Source organism: Homo sapiens, chromosome 7 (genome assembly GCF_000001405.40).
Source record: "Homo sapiens chromosome 7, GRCh38.p14 Primary Assembly".
NCBI lineage: Eukaryota > Metazoa > Chordata > Mammalia > Primates > Hominidae > Homo > Homo sapiens.
The window spans coordinates 23295548-23313881 of NC_000007.14; the positions used below are offsets into that span (position 1 = coordinate 23295548).

At 41.6% G+C, this 18334-nt stretch overlaps 2 protein-coding genes across 8 annotated transcripts in view, besides 2 other annotated features; one reads left to right on the forward strand and one right to left on the reverse strand.

The window, feature by feature from the left end:
• Window positions 3609-4098: an enhancer, noted in NCBI's record as "active region_25724". NCBI's record gives its function as "activates an Ori minimal core promoter by ATAC-STARR-seq in GM12878 lymphoblastoid cells {active_cell/tissue: GM12878}" and the evidence as "EXISTENCE:reporter gene assay evidence [ECO:0000049][PMID:35858748]".
• MALSU1 (mitochondrial assembly of ribosomal large subunit 1) lies at window positions 3792-16182 on the forward strand. The gene is made up of 4 exons (NM_138446.2): window positions 3792-4061; window positions 5292-5470; window positions 12321-12402; window positions 13809-16182. Exons 1-4 carry the CDS (start codon window positions 3806-3808, stop codon window positions 13994-13996), a joined length of 705 nt encoding a protein of 234 aa, NP_612455.1. The 5' UTR covers window positions 3792-3805; the 3' UTR covers window positions 13997-16182.
• Window positions 12830-13030: a silencer, noted in NCBI's record as "peak6435 fragment used in MPRA reporter construct". NCBI's record gives its function as "represses an SCP1 promoter by STARR-seq MPRAs in K562 erythroleukemia cells {active_cell/tissue: K562}" and the evidence as "EXISTENCE:reporter gene assay evidence [ECO:0000049][PMID:32103011]".
• IGF2BP3 (insulin like growth factor 2 mRNA binding protein 3) overlaps window positions 14662-18334 on the reverse strand; it is a 160283-nt gene continuing 156610 nt past the window's right edge. For 6 of the 7 annotated variants that reach the window (NM_006547.3, XM_011515089.3, XM_047419782.1 and 3 more), the window contains 3 exons: window positions 17975-18106; window positions 17188-17301; window positions 14662-16913 (listed from right to left, as the gene is read on the reverse strand). In NM_006547.3, the coding sequence (NP_006538.2) occupies window positions 16815-16913; window positions 17188-17301; window positions 17975-18106 (345 nt within the window). In that variant the 3' untranslated portion in view covers window positions 14662-16814. Of the gene's footprint in view, window positions 16914-17187; window positions 17302-17921; window positions 18107-18334 lie in introns of those variants that run through there. The other variant, XM_047419784.1, reaches the window with a different exon arrangement.

Below are 18334 nucleotides of genomic sequence, written 5' to 3' on the forward strand. Positions count from 1 at the left end.
CCTTGTACTAATGGACTGTAGTTAATTTATAATTCCTGACTCAGGAAGTTGCTTTTGGCTTCAATCCTCTGGCTCAGTACCCCAAAGGTAGTGATTATCAAACCACCCCCACTTCTGATTCTGCCTTTACTAAGCAACCAATGTCTGAAAACAATGTCCAAGCCCATGAGTAGATGGCAGTTTTGGGGGAAAGAGGGGCATTTTGCATTTCTGAGAACCTCTCTAATTTTCCTCAGGAAATATGACCTGTAAAAATGGATTTTGGTAATTAACATTAAGGACATGCATAGTGCTGGCAAACCTTGTCTCTGAAATCACAGATGATGAGAAACTGTTGTTTGGAATCATTTCAGTGAGAATGGAACATCCCGGTCTTGCCTGAAGACTCCGCATGGGGGTCATTTCACATCATTCCACACAAAGACACAGCTTCAGCATCAATCCTCCCCAAGGGCCAGCACTCCACATTTATCTTAACTTTTATAGTTCTAAGGAACAAGGACCCTGAGTCTGTTTCTCAGCCCTGCTGCTAATCAGAATGTGATGTTCCTAGTGAAGCCTAAAATAATGTTTTTAATAGGACATGATTCTCCCCAGACCACACGACTCTTGTGAGTGACTGACCAATAACATCTCCAGCCCCTGTGAACATTCTCCTGTCTCCTGAACAAAGATTACTGAGAAAAATTCCTAAACTTCCCTTGCTTCAGGACAGCACCCAGTCCACAGCTGACACCACTTCCTCTGATCTCTCCTTAGACTCACTGAGCATAAGCACGAGCCCTAAACAAAGCCCCTTCTAGTCCCTCTTCCTGAGCTGCTCCTCTGTCCTCCATAGCATGCAGTCTCCCTTGCTACAGCGAGTTAATAAAACTAACTTTGGGCCAGGTGCGGTGGCTCACACCTGTAATCCCAGCACTTTGGGAGGCCAAGATGGGAGGATCACAAGGTCAGGAGTTCGAGCCTAGCCTGGCCAACGTGGCGAAACCCCGTCTCTATTAAACATACAAAAAAATTAGCCAGGCGTGGTGGTGCACGCCTATAATCTTAGCTACTCAGGAGGCTGAGACAGAAGAATTGCTTGAACCCGGGAGGCGGAGGTTGCAGTGAGCTGAGATTGCACCACTGCACTCCAGCCTGCGTGACAGAGCGAGACTCCGTCTCAGGAAAAAAAAAAACTTTGACCACACGTGTTCCTGGTTGTCTTTTTCTGATGGGCTTTATCATAATGACTGGGTTCAAGCCATTTCCTCTCCATGAGGTCAATTTGTAGACAGATACTAATTTCCATATGATTACTACATGCCAAGCACTATGGTATATAATTTGTGCTGCATATTTTATCCAATTTTTCGAGACTCTGTGAAGAAGGTATCATTCCCTCATTTTACAGATGAGGAAACTGAGGCTCAGATTAAGAACTTCAATAGTACACTGCTAATAAACAGAAGAGGTGGAATTAAATCTAAGTCTTTTCTAGTGGGGTATCATGCAGTCAAACATAAATGTTAAAGACATTTATGAACAAAGGGATGAGGGGTTTCTGAGGGGCCATCTGAGAGAGTAGGGGGAGATATCTTAATGCTTAAGGTATGTCTTACAGAGTGAGTCTGAGTTTGTCATATGAAAAAATGGGAAAAGGGTGCTCTAAAAAGAGTAGTGGCCAAGCACGGTGGCTCACACCCGTAATCCCAACACTTTGGGAGGCTGAGGCGGGTGGATCACTTGAGGTCAGGAGTTTGAGACCAGCCTGGCCAACATGGTGAAACCCCGTCTCTACTAAAAATACAAAAATTAGCTGGGGGTGGTGGCACGTGCCTGTAATCCCAGCTATTTGGGAGGCCGAGGCAGGAGAATTGCTTGAACCCTGGAGGCAAAGGTTGTGGTGAACCGAGATGGTGCCACTGCACTCCAGTCTGGGTGACAGAGCGAGACTCCATCTCAAAAAAAAAGTATATGCAAAGCTTGGCATTGAAAGGATATGGTGAGGTTGCCAGGCATGGTGGCTTATGCCTATACTCACAGCTACAGTGGGGTAGATTGCTTAAGGCCAGGAGTTTGAAACCAGCCTGGGCAACATAGTGAGATCCTGTCTTTAAAAAAATTAAAAACAAAAATTAGCTGGCCATGGTTCCACATGCCTGTAGTCCTAGCTAATTGGGAGGCTAAGGCAGGAGCACCGCTTGAGCCCAGGAGTTTGAGGATGTAGTTAGCTATGATTGTGTGACTGTACTCCAGTCTGGGTGACAAGAGTAAGACCCCATCTCTTTAAAAAATAAAAATAAAAAAGGGTATGGTGAGTTTGAAAAACAGCAAAAAGCAGATAAAGCGAAAATGATTGTAGTTGATAGAAGGGCAGCATGGAGGATGAAAAGAGTAGAAACAGACTGGAGACAGGAAAGCCAGGTAGGAGGCAGTCTCTGTAATTAGGCAAGAACTAATGAGGGTGTGGACTAAGGAAGAAACAGTGGAAATGAAGACAAGAAGCTGAACTCACAGAAACATTTTGGAGGTCACATAAGCAGGATTTTGACAACAGATTCGTTTGTTGTATGAAGATCCTGGACTGAATGAAGTCTAGGGTTTGGGAGTTTTGAAGGGATAATGACCCATTAAATGAGCTGGCAAATACAGGTGGTAAAGCAGGTCTGGGATGTTCAGAGAAGGGTGGGAACACGGAATGGATGCCAGAAGCTGGGAGAAAAGCCAAGTTCATGCCTGTGGAAAAATGGAATTGAGGATGGGGCTAAAATTGGACAGAGGAAACTTAATCTGTAATGTTTTTCTTCTTTTCAAAAATAACTTGAAGTGGTTGTACATATCTGGTGTGATATACACAAATGCTTAATTTCTCTATTTTTAAAAAACTTCCCAAAATTAGTGCTTGGAATTATTTAAAATAATGTAGCAAACATTTTTGGAGTGCCTGCTATGTGTCTGGCACTGTTTCAGGCATTTGAAATATTTGCTCTCTATGAAGCCTTCCTTTCAGCAGTTAGCAGGCCTGGAGTTCAGAAGCCAGAAACTGGCTTCTGATTCTGACGCAGTCAGTAAGTGTATGACCTGGGCAAGTTGCTTCCCTGCGGCGTCCCACGCCCCCAAAACCCCCCACCCCCCCACCCGTGCCAGGAATCTATCGCAGTTCTCAAGTCCTGTGACTTAATACCGCAGCTGGCACCTCAGAATTCCTTATTCTTACAGAGCTGGTCCCCACAGTACCGCCCCTGGGCGTAAACTCCTCCATACAGGGAGTGTAGATGATGGGCTGACCTAAGAACGGTTTCCAAATGGTCCTTTACACCTCTGCCTCCCACCCCACTCTAGCCCAGGATAACAGATTTTCCTCGCGCAATTTCAAATTTGCAAGGGAATCTTGAATATTTTCTGGTAATGAGAGAGGGTAGATTATATGTCCTAATCCCAGCCTAATCAGATTAACAGCAACTTCTGGACATTCAGTACCAGGAACTGTTTTAGGTGCTGTGGAGAGAAGAGTTAAAAATGAAACAAAAATTATTGCCTTCATGAGCCTCACATTAGTGGACAGAGTCCAAAAAAAAAGTGACAACGTAATGCGCTACTGCGACACAAAGCAAAGCAAGGTGGGCAAGCAACACTAGTTCTTTATTCCCGCACGCCCTAATCCCCAAGTAGCTCTTCCGGGTCACTGCAGTCTTCACGGGCTCCAGACTCCGCCCATGGTCCGTCCTTCAGGCCTTGACTCCGCCCACGCATCGACGTAGAATTTCCCGGCCGGGCTCCATGAAGTACCACCCACCCGCGACGCCGACGCAAGGCTGCTGCTATGGGGCCGGGCGGCCGTGTGGCGCGGCTGCTCGCCCCACTAATGTGGCGCAGGGCGGTTTCCTCGGTGGCGGGGTCCGCGGTTGGAGCCGAGCCCGGGCTTCGGCTGCTGGCCGTGCAGCGGCTTCCCGTAGGAGCAGCGTTCTGCCGGGCTTGCCAGACCCCAAACTTTGTCCGCGGCCTGCACAGCGAGCCTGGGCTGGAGGAGCGGGCGGAGGGGACGGTCAACGAGGGACGCCCAGAATCGGACGCGGCAGGTACGGGCGTGGAGAAGAACGAAGGCGACCCTCTCCGGGCAGTCTGGAGTCAGGTCCCAGCCAAGGTGGCTCTGGGTTCCCCTCTATGTGCATTTCTCTTGGAGTCACAAAACTCCTGCACATCCAGAGCTGGAAGGGACTTCAAAGGTTGTTGGCGCCAACCTTCCCGTTTCACAGTGAAGAAATTGAGGGCAAGAGATGAACTGCAGAATCCCAGCCTCCCGGACGGCCATCTCCCACCCTTGGCATCACAGTCTCACCGTCCTCACTTCCTTTTACCCTCTTCCTAGGATCCTGGGAAATGGGTTTGTGGGGACTGTTGGGGCTTGAGGATTCTGAGGAGCCAGGGTCTGGGTGCGAAGGGGTGCGTAGGAAGCGCCAGTAGGAGATGGGTCCAAGTTAATATCCTCTAGTTATTGCTGACGTTTTTAGAAACTTAAGAATGGTAAACAGATCACATCTAAGAATGTAGAGTATGAGAGGGAGAGGCCTTAGTGGGCTTAGCTACTAGGTCCTTTGGAGTCGGCTTTAGAACTTGGGCGAGCTTTTAAATTTACAGCCTGTAATACTCCAAGCTGAAGATCAGAATATCTAAATCTTTACGGGAAAAAAAATTAGATTTTCATAGGTAACAGTTGTTAATAACCCGGTGGTTTTATATGAAAACTGGAAGGTTCAAAATAATAATTACTCAAAAATGTAGCTCTTTCAGTGACTGATCTTAGGCCACAGTAATTCTCCTAGGCCTCAGTTTCTTCATCTCTCAACTGAAGGTTGTGGACCAGATACTGCCTAAGAGCCCTTCCAGCTCACAATTCTGTGACCCGTTATGACTGAGATTCAATTTAATATGCTCCAGGATATCACCTCCTACCCATTTTGTGGTGCTGTTTTTCTTTGCACAGCATTTCTGTGATTGTGGTGTATTGCTCCTTTTAAGTATTAGTAGAAAGTCATTTGTCACTGGTGTCTGGTTCTACTTGCATATGGTTAATAGCGAAGGATGTATAGTGGCTCTGCGTAATCTGAGCACCCTGACCATAAAAGTTGAGCGGTGCTATGATACTACTGCCCAGGTTCACCTTCCAGGAGGCCTTTACCCTGCTATCTGTAAAAACACTTTGGATCTAAACACCCTCATGGAGGAACAGTCAGCTGCCGGCATCTCTGGGTGCATACACGTCTATCTGCTTGGCCATCCTGATACAAACAACTATTTGTGCATTTCAGATCATACTGGTCCCAAGTTTGACATCGATATGATGGTTTCACTTCTGAGGCAAGAAAATGCAAGAGACATTTGTGTGATCCAGGTTCCTCCAGAAATGAGATATACAGATTACTTTGTGATTGTTAGTGGAACTTCTACCCGACACTTACATGCCATGGCCTTCTACGTTGTGAAAATGGTAGGATGCTTTCTTTTCTCTTTTGGACCATTAACTGAGTGGAATAGTGACAGTGCATCAGGCCAAGGAGCAACACTTAGAGGGTAAACCCATCATACAAAGTTACAGAAGAAGCCCAAATTTTCAGAATTTGCATGAATTCATTTTATGTTCTTTGATAGTGAAACATATGGGAGCAAATATCCAGCCCTATTGAGTTAGGATATATCAAAATCTTTTCTCTTGTGACCGCAAGGAAGATTTTTTTTTTTTTTCTAATTGAGATGGAGTTTTGCTCTTGTTGCCCAGGCTGGAGTGCAATGGCGCGATCTCTGCTCACCGCAACCTCCGCCTCCCGGGTTTAAGTGATTCTCCTGCCTCATCCTCCTGAGTAGCTGGGATTACAGGCATGCGCCACCAGGCCCAGATAATTTTGTATTTTTAGTAGAGACGGGTTTCTCCATGTTGGTCAGGCTGGTCTCAAACTCCTGACCTCAGGGGATCCGCCTGCCTCAGCCTCCTAAAGTGCTAGGATTACTGGCATGAGCCACCTCACCCGGCCGGAAAATAATATTTTATAACCTGAGGCAAGCTAGAAGACAGTATAACCAGAGGGATTTCTAGAGGCACTATCCATTACGGTAGCCACTAGCTACATGTGCCTATTTAATTATAAATTAAAATATAAATTCAGCCGGGCGTGGTGGCTCAAGCCTGTAATCCCAGCACTTTGGAAGGCCAAGGTGGGTGGATCACAAGGTCAAAAGATCAAGACCATCCTGGCCAACATGGTGAAATGCCGTCTTTACTAAAAATACAAAAATTAGCTGGGCATGGTGGCGTGTGCCTGTAATTCCAGCTACTCGGGAGGCTGAGGCAGGAGAATGGCTTGAACCTGGGAGGCGGAGGTTGCAGTGAGCTGAGATTGTGCCACTGCACTCCAGCCTGGTGACAGAGCCAGACTCTGTCTCAAAAAAAAAAAAAAAGATATAAATTCAGTTCTGCAGTTATATTAGCTATATTTCAAATGCTCAATAGCCACGTGTGGCTAATGGCTACCATATGGGACAGCCATAAAGCATTTTCATCATTGTAAAACGTTCTATTGGACAGTGCTGGCCTGGAGTTTCATTCAAAGATTTGAGCATGTCCAGTGTTCCCAAGCACTGTACGGGGTATTGGGAAGGTAAGAACAAAAAAGATGTAGTCCTTGCCCTTACAGGTCTAGTTGAGGAAAGAAAGGGGGATTGTTTTCCAGTTGCACTGAATATGAATCAGAATGAGGAAGAAAGTACTTGGAAGCCTCTAGCTGACTCTGGTACCATTCCACGGGGCCATGATACCTTTCTTAGTCTTAGTCTGTTGAGAATTGGTCATAGAGGAGGCAGTTAAGACCAAAAGAGTAGCCAAAATTGTATAGAGAAAGGTTGTAAAATAAAAAGGTGGGGCCTATACACAAAACCCTGGTACATGACAGAGCAGAAGAAGATGCCAAAAACAGGGTAATTGGAGAGATAGGGAGAGAACTAGGAAAGCATAAAGAAGAGATATACAAAGACAGCATACCAGGGTCTCTATCAGATGTAATAGTGGGATGGAGTCAGAAGACTTAGTGACCATTGGACTTGCGGATGTAAAAAGAATGGGAGGTTTTACAGAGAAGTTTCTGTGAAAGAATAAAGAAATAGAAATTGCCTTTACAAAGATTTTAGATGAGAGAAATGCAAAGGCAAGAAAGTTTTGTTGTTTGTGGTAAAATATATATAACGTAAAACCTACCGTTTAATCTTTTTTTTGGAGACAAGAGTCTCGCTCTGTCGCCCAGGCTGGAGTGCAGTGGCTCGATCTCAGCTCACTGCAGTCTCCGCCTCCCGAGTTCAAGTGATTCTCCGGCCTAAGCCTCCTGAGTAGGTGGGATTATAGGCACCCACCACCACGCTTGGCTGATTTTTCTATTTTTAGTAGAGATGGGGTTTCACCATGTTGGTCAGGCTGGTCTCAAACTCCTGACCACCTCGGCCTCCCAAAGTGCTGGGATTACAGGCATGAGCCACTGTGCCCAGCCCATTTAACAATTTTAAACTGTGTTGTTCAGTAGCTTTAAGTACCTTCACATTGACTTACAATCATTACCACCATCCGTCTCCAGAAATTTTTTCATTTTGCAAAAACGAAACTCTGAACTCATTAAACAATAACTCCCCATTTCTCCTTCCGTAGGCAGCTACCATTCTACTGCCTGTCTCTATGAATTTGACTACTTTTCAGTATCTCATAAAAGTAGAATCATAGATTTGTGACCGACTTATCTGACTTAGCATAATGTCTTCAAGGTTCATCCATGTAGTAGCATGTGCCAGAATTTCCTTCTTTCTTAAGGCTGAATAATACTCTATCTTACGTATATACCACATTTTGTTTATCCCCTTATTCATTGATGGACACTTAGATTGCTTCCACCTTTTGGCTATTGTGAATAATGCTGGTATAAATATGAGTATAGAAATACTGTTCATGAGGCTGGGCGCAGTGGCTCATGCCTGTAATCCCAGCATTTTGAGAGGCCAAGGTGGGCGGATTGCTTGAGCTCAGAAGTTTGAAACCAGCCTGGGCAACATGGTGAAACTCCATCTCTACAAAAAAGACAAAAAATAAAATAAAAAATTGGCTGGGCTTGGTGGTGTGTGCCTGTAGTCCCAGCTACTTGGAATGCTGAGGTGGAGGATTGCTTGAGCCCAGGAGCTTGAGGCTGCAGTGAGCCAAGATTGTACTACTGCACTCCACCCTGGGTGACAGAGCAAGACGCTGTCTCAAAAGAAAAAAAAAAAAAAAAAAGGCTGGGTTCACACTTGTAATCCCAGCACTTTGGGAGGCCAAGGCGGGTAGTTCACCTGAGGTTAGGAGTTCAAGACCAGCCTGGCCAAAATGGTGAAACCCTGTCTCTATTAAAAATACAATAATTAGCTGGGTGTGGTGGAGGGTTCCTGTAATCCCAGCTACTTGGGAGGCTGAGGCACGAGAATCGCTTGAACCTGGGAGGTGGAGGTTGCAGTGAGCCGAGATTGTGCCACTGCTCTCCAGCCTGGGCAACAAGAGCGAAACTCAGTCTCAAAAAAAAAAAAAATTGTTTATGTCCTTGCTTTTAATGCTTTGGGGTATGTGCAAAGAAATGGGATTGCTGGATCATATAGTGATTCTGTTTTTAATTTTTTTTCTGTTCACCAGCCTAGCACAAAGCTGAATGTTTTTAATTTTTTGAGGAGCTCCTGTATTCTTTCATAGTGGCTACACCACTTTACATTTCTCTAGCAGTGCAGAGTTTCCAGTCTTCACATCCTCATCAACAACTTATTTTCTCATTTTGGTAATAGCCATCCTAATGGGCATGACGTGATATCTCATTGTGGTTTTTATTTGTATTTCCCTAAGGATTAGTGATGTTGAGCATATTTTCTTTTGCTTATTGGCCATTTGTATATATTCTTTGAAGAAAAGTCCTTTGCTTTTTTGTTTGTTTTAAAGAGACAGTGTCTCACTTTGTTGCCCAGGCTTCAGTGCAGTGGTGTGGTCATAGCTCACTGCAGCCTGGAACTTCTGGGCTCGAGTGATCCTCTCACCTCAGCCTCCCAAGTTGCTAGGACTAGAGGAGTAGGAGTAGTCAAATTCATAGAGACAGAAAGTAGAATGGTAGGAGTTACTCCACAGTGCCCAGCTAATTTATTTTTTATAGAGACAGGGTCTCACTATATTGCCCAGACTCTTTGCCCATTTTAAAATCAGGTTGTTTGTTGTTTTGTTGTTGAGTTGTAGGAGCTCTCTATATATTCTGGATATTAATCCCTTATCAAATATGTGATTTGCAGATGTTTTCTGCCATTCTGTGGGTTGCCTTTTTACTCTTTAGAGTGTCCTTTGATGCACGAAAGTATTTAATTTTGGTGAAGTTCAGTTTATTTTTTCTTCTGTTGCCTGTGTCTTTGGTATTATATCTAATAAATAATTGCCAAACCAGTATCATGTTTTCCCTATTTTCTTCTAAGAGTTTTATAGTTTTAAGTCTCCTGTTTAGATATTTAACCCATTTTGAGTTAGTTTTTGTAGGCGGTTAGTTTTCCATGTGGACATTTCCTCAGCAACGTTTGTTGGAAGGACTGTCCTTTGTGCATTGAATGGTCTTGGCTCCATTGTTGAAAATCATTTGACCATAGGCACAAGGGTTTATTTCTGGGCTCTGTATTCTGTTTCATCAGTCTGTGCGTCTGTCTTTTTGCCAGTTTCAGACTGTTTTGTTTACCATAGCTTTGTTCTAAGTTTTGAAATCAAGAAATATGAGACTCCAACTTTGTTCTTTTACAAGATTGTTTTGGCTATTTGGGGTTCCTTGAGAGTCCATATAATTTTTTTTTTTTTTTTGAGATGGAGTTTCGCTTTTGTTGCCCAGGCTGTAGTACAGTGGCACAATCTCGGCTCACAGATTCAAGCAATTCTCCTGCCTCAGCCTCCCAAGTAGCTGAGGTTACAGGTGCCCGCCACCATGCCCAGCTAATTTTTTGTATTTTTAGTAGAGATGAGGTTTCACCATTTTGGCTAGGCTGGTCTTAAACTCCTAACCTCAGGTGATGCACCCGCCTTGGCCTCCCAAAGGGCTGGGATTACAGGTGTGAGCCACCGTGTCTGGCCCCACATAAAGTTTAGGTTGGATTTTTCTGTTTCTTCAAAAAATATTGTGATCTTGATATAGATTGCACTGAATCTGTAGACTGCATTGGGTAGTATTGGCATCTTTACAATATTGTCTTCCCATCCATGAATATGAAGTATCTTTCCATTTACTGGCATCTGTAAGTTCTTTCAGCAGTGTTTTGTAGTCTTCATTGTACAAGTCTTTTGCTCCTGTGGTTAAGATTATTCTGCTAGGCTGCTCACGGTGGCTGATGTCTGTAATCCTAGCACTTTGGGAGGCCGAGGCAGGCAGATCACCTGAGATCGGGAGTTCAAGACCAGCCGCACCAACATGGAGAAACCCCGTCTCTACTGAAAATACAAAATTAGCCGGGCGTGGTGGCGCATGCCTGTAATCCCGGCTACTTGGGAGGCTGAGGCAGGAGAATCGCTTGAACTTGGGAGGTGGAGGTTGCTGTGAGCCGCGATTGCGCCATTATAGTCCAGCCTGGGCAACAAGAGCGAAACTCAAAACAAGAACGTCTCAATTAAAAAAAAAAAAGTATTATTCTGCTATTGTAAATGGAATTCTAAAAACTTTGTTTCCAGGTTGCTCATTGTTAGTGTATAGAAATACGATGGATTTTTGTGTGCTGAATTTGTTTAGTAGCCCTAACTGGGTTTTTTTTGTGGAATCTTTGGGGTTTTCTACATATGAAGTTGTATTGTCTTCAGAGATAATTTTACTTCCTCCTTTCCAATTTGGGTACCTTTTTTTTTTTTATTGACGAATTGCTCTGACTAGAACTTCCAATACTGTGTTGAATAGAAGTAGCAAAAGCAGGCATAGTCTTGTTCCTGATCTTACAGGAAAGCTTTCAGTCTCACCATTGAATATATTAGCTGTGTGCTTTTCTCACATGGCCCTTATTATGTTGAGGTAATTTCCTTTTATGCCCACTTTGTTGAGTGCTTTATTGTGAAAGGGTATTGAATTTTGTTAAATGCTTTTTCTGCGTCAGTTCAGATTATCATATAGATTTTTTCTTCATTCTGTTAATGTGGTGTTATTGCATTGATCCGTTTTTATATGTTGAACCACCTTGCATTCCAGGGATAAATCCCACTTGGTCATGGTCTATAATCCTTTTAATATGGTGCTGAGTTTGGTTTGCTAGTATTTTTGTTGAGGATTTTTGCATCAAATGTTCATCAGGGTTATTGGTCTTATGGAATGAGTTAGGAAGTGTTCCCTGTTCTTCAATTTTTTGGGGAGAATTTGAGTATTGCATTCTTGTTTAAATATTTGGTAAAACTCATCAGGGAAGCCATCTGGTCTAGGACTTTTGTTGGGAGATTTTTGATTACTGATCCAGTCCCCATACTAGTTATGGTCTATTGAAACTTTATATTTCTGCATGATTCAGTCAGTAGATTGTGTTTCTAGAAATTTTGCTATTTCGTCTAGGTTACCCAGTTGTTTGGTGTACAGTTGCTCATAATACTCTTACAATCCCATTTCTCTAAAATCAGTAGTGTCACTTCTTTCATTTCAGATTTTAGTTGTCTTTTTTCTTAGTCATTCTAAGAACCAAATCCTAGTTTCATTGATTTTGTCTTTTTCCTGCCCTAATTATCATTTCCTTTGATTTTGGGGTGATGTATATGAGATGTCCTTTGTCTCTTGTAACAGTTTTTACTTAATTGCCATCTTGTTTGATATTAGTATATCTGTTTTAACAAAAGAACTGAGCACATTTATAGGATGACGGGGTCCCATTAACATGTCATAAAGGCAGATGAGATGAAATCAGTGGCACTGAAACAACCTGGCTTTATAAACAGAAGGTAGTATCTGCAGCCCCTAAAGGTGAAGGAAAGCTGGGATGAACACAAGTGATGGATGTAGGTGGGTACCAAATGCTGACTGAGCTTAGCTTTTTCAGCCTCAGAGGCACCTTGGTGAATGAATGGGGTGACCCTCTCAGAAGGGCTGGGGCAGGAGAATTCAGGAGAGAGGTGAAAGTGAATAAGATTTAGAGGGAGAAATAGTTTCCCTAAGTTATTCATCACAGGGCAAAGTATAGCAATGAGAAATGAGTAAGAAAGATTAAAAAAAACAAACAAACAAACAAAAAAAAAAGACCTTCAGCAAGAACAGGCTTCCCCCATCCCCTCTCCCTTTAATAAACCACCTGGCTTTTTGCAGTACAAACACCTGAAATGTAAACGTGACCCTCATGTTAAGATAGAAGGGAAGGACACTGATGACTGGCTGTGCGTGGATTTTGGTAAGTTATTCTGGCGTATTTTACAGGTAACTGTTGGTACTACGCTAATCTTGAATTGTTTTCAGTTGCAAAAGGATTGAGATCAAATTGATGAATGTATTTCCAGGTAAGATTTTTGAAGTGTGTTTAAGGTAACAAAAGTTTTTTTAGTTATAATCCAGGTGGTCTTATTCACATGTAGAATTTTCACCTAACCAAACCAAAGTACCCTAGATGATGCCCTCCTGGAGGAAGATATATACTACATGGTGTGTATCTACTAGCCACACAGATCAGGAAGGTGGTGGACAACAGGATAACATAGTAGAGGCGGGAGAGATTCCTTAGTAGTGGTAGAGGAAGGTTTGGGGGCTGTGGTGCATAAATGAGATGAGGATGAGGTTATTCCAGGCACAAAAAAGGACAAGAGCAGAAGACTAGAATTTTGAAAAGATCTAACAACTTTGGGTATTAATGTGTACATAGTTTCAAAGCACCTCCCAACAAGATAATATTTACAAAGGGGAAACATAACTGTATGTCAAGAACTGAGGAGTCTGAGATTTTATTCTGCTTGTAAGCTAATACATTGTCCCGCCAGTTTTCATGGACACTGGTAAAAGACAAGACTATTAGAGGGTTAGAGACAAAGAACAGTTTATTACTCACAGCAGTAGCCAGCATCCATTTTGCACTGGTTTCCTGAGCTCTGGATTCCATAGGGCAACATGGGCCAGATGACACCAGCACACACAGTTGTAAAACTGGAACTCAGATGAGGGTGTCTAGGTTTTTTATAACTGGCAGGAAGCAGGCCTACTTTTGCTCTGATGGTTTCTCACTTTTGTCGCTATTAACGTTTTGGACCAGGTAATTTTGCATGTGGGGGAGGGGTGTCTCTTGTGCACGGTACGATGTTTAGCAGTATCCTCCCTTCTCCAATTGTGACAATCAAAAATGACTCTAAACATTACCATTATTACCTAATTGAGAAATGCTGCTGTAAGCAAAGCTGCCCTTTGCCCTGGAGGGAGGCAGTATCTTTCTGTTAAGAATATTCACGATACAAACATTCTTGGATAGTCAAAACAAAAGGCAGTCAGTGTTTTTGCACAAAAGATGTGCAGAAGTGTGTTACCCATGGAGAATTGTCACCGAAGAGAATCCTGACACCATTAGTCTCTTTGATAAAGTTACTATCACCAGCAATGTTATATATTGACATATGCCTCCTGTAGGTACACTGAGAAAGGCATAGCATCACTTCTGTGGTATTTTTGCTGGGATGGAGTCCACAGTGATGCTAATCTGGGAACCACACTTGAGAACCACTGCTTTATTCCTAGAGTTAGCCAGTGTGTGTTGTAAGGTAAGAATAAAAGCAAATGAACTATTCCTTCATTGTATCTCTTATCTGTCCCTGACAGGCAGCATGGTGATTCATTTGATGCTTCCAGAAACCAGAGAAATCTATGAATTAGAGAAATTATGGACCCTACGTTCTTATGATGACCAGTTAGCTCAGATAGCACCTGAGACAGTACCTGAAGACTTCATTCTTGGAATAGAAGATGATACTTCATCTGTGACTCCAGTGGAGTTAAAATGTGAATAAAATATTTTATGCACTGCGTTAGTCATTTCAGATTTGGATTGAGTCACTTATTGGAAAATACAGCTCCTAAAGTCCGTCTCCTTGGTTAGGCTGCTCTTAGGACAAGGCTTGTGTACCTCATGGGCACTCCTGCTAACTGGCATGCAGAGACTGTCGATAAGTGAGCTATACCTGCAACCAAAAATCAGTACATTCTACCCAAAACTTATGACACGCTGCCTTTATCCTGGAAATGTCATCAGAATTTCCTGGAGTTAGCACTGGCTCCTGTGCTTGACTTCTCTGCTCAGATTTTTATTAATTTAATTTAGCTTAAATGTAAATCTTAACCCTGTTTGTTTAATGGAATGGCAAAAATTTTAAAAAATAATATAAAACATAGCCCACTGGTCTTATTTTTATACTTTGAGGTGATAATATTCTTCTAGGAGGACTTCTGTAACCCTTCCAGAATACTCCAGTAACACAAGAAAGTAAACAAAGTGTTTGTTAGGAAAAACTCTGAACGCTCTAGTTCTTAGTTCATATGCAAGAGTATTATCAAGGTTCACATTAAGTACCATGGCTGGACATGGTATAACAGAAATCTGCGTAGAGTTTGAAAAAAAATTCAGAACATTCCCATTCAATTGAAAACCAAAAATAAAACATACTACACAACAAGCTGCACCTAAATGATGAAAAAATTTATTCTGCGTCAAGGTATCTGGAAAATGAAGCTGCATTTGGGGCACATTATACATGAGGAATGATCCATATATGGTGAGTACAAAACTCAATTATAGAATTATTTCTTAGCTAGTACCAGATACTCCAAATTACAAATGCTTAAGTAAAAGTAAAATATGATTTGCCATACTAAAAGGCTAGAAGTGAAATATGACAGAATTTAAACCAGCAGATATAAATGCAGCACCTATGTGTATATTTTTAAAAAATCAAATATTGGGGAAAAAAATCAAATACTGAGAAAAGCTCTGGCCTTAAACACATCTTACCTGAAATCCAACCAGAAAGCCAGTCCATGATTTTAGCAATTTTAATTCATTGTATGAAAAAAAAATCATGAATGCTAGGAGAATCCAGTGACAAAAAGGGCACTTTTTTGGTTAAAACTACAAAAGAAACTTGTTTTCAGAGAACATTAAGGAAAACACTTTAAATCATTTTCAAAATGTCTAATTGATCTTCAGAAAAACATCTAGTCTGTATAGAAATTCATCTTGAAATAAGAATGAGGCAGTGATTTTTTTTTTAAAGGGTTATATATATGTCCTTTAGATCAGTGTAACATGACTGTGATCATCTTACAAACAAAACTCAAAAAATCAATTCAGAGAGCAGCGTGGCCTTGGAGACCACCCACACCCAACACAATTGTACGTACTGGGCTTTGCTGTCAAGGAGTGAGCAAATGAGTTCGTTATCAAAGGTCATATGTTTTCACAGTCATTCAAATTATATCCCAAAAACTTTTCTTGTATTCTCTATCTTTTGACTTTTTTTTCAAAGAACTGATTGCACAGTATACAGAAATCCTGTTATACTTTACTACTTAAGGTGGAGTCTAATTTTTTTTTTTTAATTTATCAGTGCTTAAAAATCTTCAAAATAGCTTAGTGAGGCTCATGACAGTGCTGGCCCCATGGAAATGTAGCCTTTTGTTGCGTTTAAACACTGTCACACCATCTATGACTGTCCCATTGGTCTGAAGTGTAGTGGCAAACTAAGCATCCTATAAGACAAGCTAAAGCTTGCTTTTTGCCAGTCAGTTGAAAGTCTTGCATCTCTTCACTGATGCACTTTCTTTAGGTATTGATAGTCAGAAGCACAAAGCATTTATTATGCATTCAATCATGTAGCTAAACAAAAAACTGAAGTCTCCTGAAGCCATTTAAACCAGCCGTTCCAAAATCTCCTGCGACCACTTTGTTAGTACCGTCAAAAACTTTCCCAACTATAAATGAAAGAATAAATGGTAGTGCTGCTCTCCAGATACTAGGCACTGCTCCGTATTTTTGAACATTTGATTTAACTAATAACTGTGTCAAAAGCCTCAAAAAACCCTGAAATTAATTTTCCAGCTTTACTGTCACCAGCCAGAAGTAAAAATCTTAATTTGCCTGTTAGCTGATTGCTGTTAAATTTTAAATTTATTTTTTAAAAAACGGTTGGACTTCTATCATTATAAAGTATATAAAATTTTCAAAAAAAAGGAACAATTTTGCTTTTCATTGTATTACTGAATACCTGAGGTAGTTGAGTAAAAATGCACGTTTAATACCCCTGCCAACACCATTCAGCACTTCCCTTAGGTTACTCATGTTAGTGTTAGGTAAAAATAAAACTGAGAACAGTTTTTCTATGCTAATGGCTTAACATTTAAGTTCCTGTGATAATTATTCTGATCCAATTTTAACAATTGGATTTAGGAGCAATCTATTTGATGAATTTAGTGAAAGCATCATTAAGCCAATTTCTGGCATTATGGGGGAATATTAAGAAGAATTAGAATATCTGTTATACTGTGAGACTACAACAAAGGGAAGTGCAGAGCTCTTCTCTTTCCCTCCCTCCCCCACCCTTTTTTTGTTTGTTTGTTTGTTTGTTTTAAAGCTGGGTGTCATACATTTCAGAGAGCATAAAGTATACATTCTCACAGAGACAGGAGTTCAAAAGTTGCCTGGTCCTCAGAAACAACTGGCTAGGTAAAAACTTGTGCATGTGATTCTGGATAGGGGGTCAGCGCCCATCTGTTGGTTAAGCAATCTGTCTTTGGTTTGGCATCTGCCTCTGTGGTGGGCTGTTTCCTGAGCCTTTACTTCCGTCTTGACTGAGGTGGTCCACTTTGCAGAGCCTTCTGTTGTTGGTGCTGCTTTACCTGAGTCAGAATTTCCTGAATTTTTCTCTGGGCAACCTAGAAAAGGACAGAGCTTTGAAATTCCACTTGATCAAAAGCTACTAAAAGTTATTGTACTCCTTCATTTCAACAATTTCAAATAGAAATCCATTTGATGATTAAAGATACATACTAGTCAGTTTGCTAGTAGTCTCTGAAATCACCCGCTAAAAGGGAGATGAAAAGTCTTAAGCATCAAACAACCTTAACTAATTCTATCAGGTAGGAGCACCTGTGGGAGAATTGCTTCCACGTGAGAAAGATACAATAGCTTATTTTAGAGCCCACTTGCCTGGCAAGCATAGAAGTGACCAGTTATTTTGACAACCACTTGGTCATTCTCATCAGGTGTCTGGTCACGAGGGACAACAACTTCTGCACTTGACAAATTCTGAAGTTCATTCACCTGAAAGAGATAAATATAAATCACATTAAGTGGCAGTTTTAAAACCTTACTTCCTAAGCACTTACTGTGCGCCAGACAGTGAGCTATGTATGGCTTTACAAATTTCATTTAATCCAGTGGTAATTCCATGAGGTTATTAGAATTATCCCCACTTCAAGATGATTAAGGCTCATCCAAAGAAACTGATTTGTCCAGTTATACAAGTGAATGGCAAAACCAGATTCAAATCCTGAGTCTGATTCCAAAGTGTATGTACTCAATCACTTCAAAATTATAAATAGCTTTGAAACCCACTTACAAGTTATATGTATTAGAGACTAGAAACAGTTTGCTTTTTTTCCATTACAGATGTAACAAGCTGTAGATGAAATTTTTAAAATTCCTGTTAAGTGTCTGTTCCATAAAAAGCTAAAGTTTTATCAGGAGAACGTTAAATGCCCTTTATAAATATAGGACAATCCTCTCACACAAAGTGATCTGAAAGAGATGCATTACTTTCACTAATAGCTGGCACCAACACTCAGACAGGAAACAAAAGGCAATCTTCTCCAAACCTTGGTCAAGATGGTCCTGCTTTTTATAAATTAGCCAAAATTCGGGGACTTGGAACTCCTAAGTACCTTTCAACGCTTTCCCTTTCATACCACTGCACAGGTTTTGCTGAAGTACTTGCCGTTTTGCCTCCTTTTCCAATAACTCTGCCAGCAGCAAAGGATGGCACTCTGATATGAGCTTCAAGTTTCACCTCTTCTTTAGGACTAACAAAGTTTTCTTCTTTAATTTTTCCATAAATTCTTCCCTGAGCCTGCAGATGAAAACACATCCTATTAGTGTCATTCATGTATGAAATGGAAAAGGTCAGTTAACTTGAAAGATGGCCCAAATCCAAGTGGGATAGCCCTTTGCAGTGATACATCTACATTTCATAGATTGTTGAAAATAACATAGAAGAGAGCAGTTAGAAGTCCTAAAAGGTTGACAATAACTACTGCCCATCACAGTAGAGGCAACTGAATGCTTGGTGAAAGAAGGA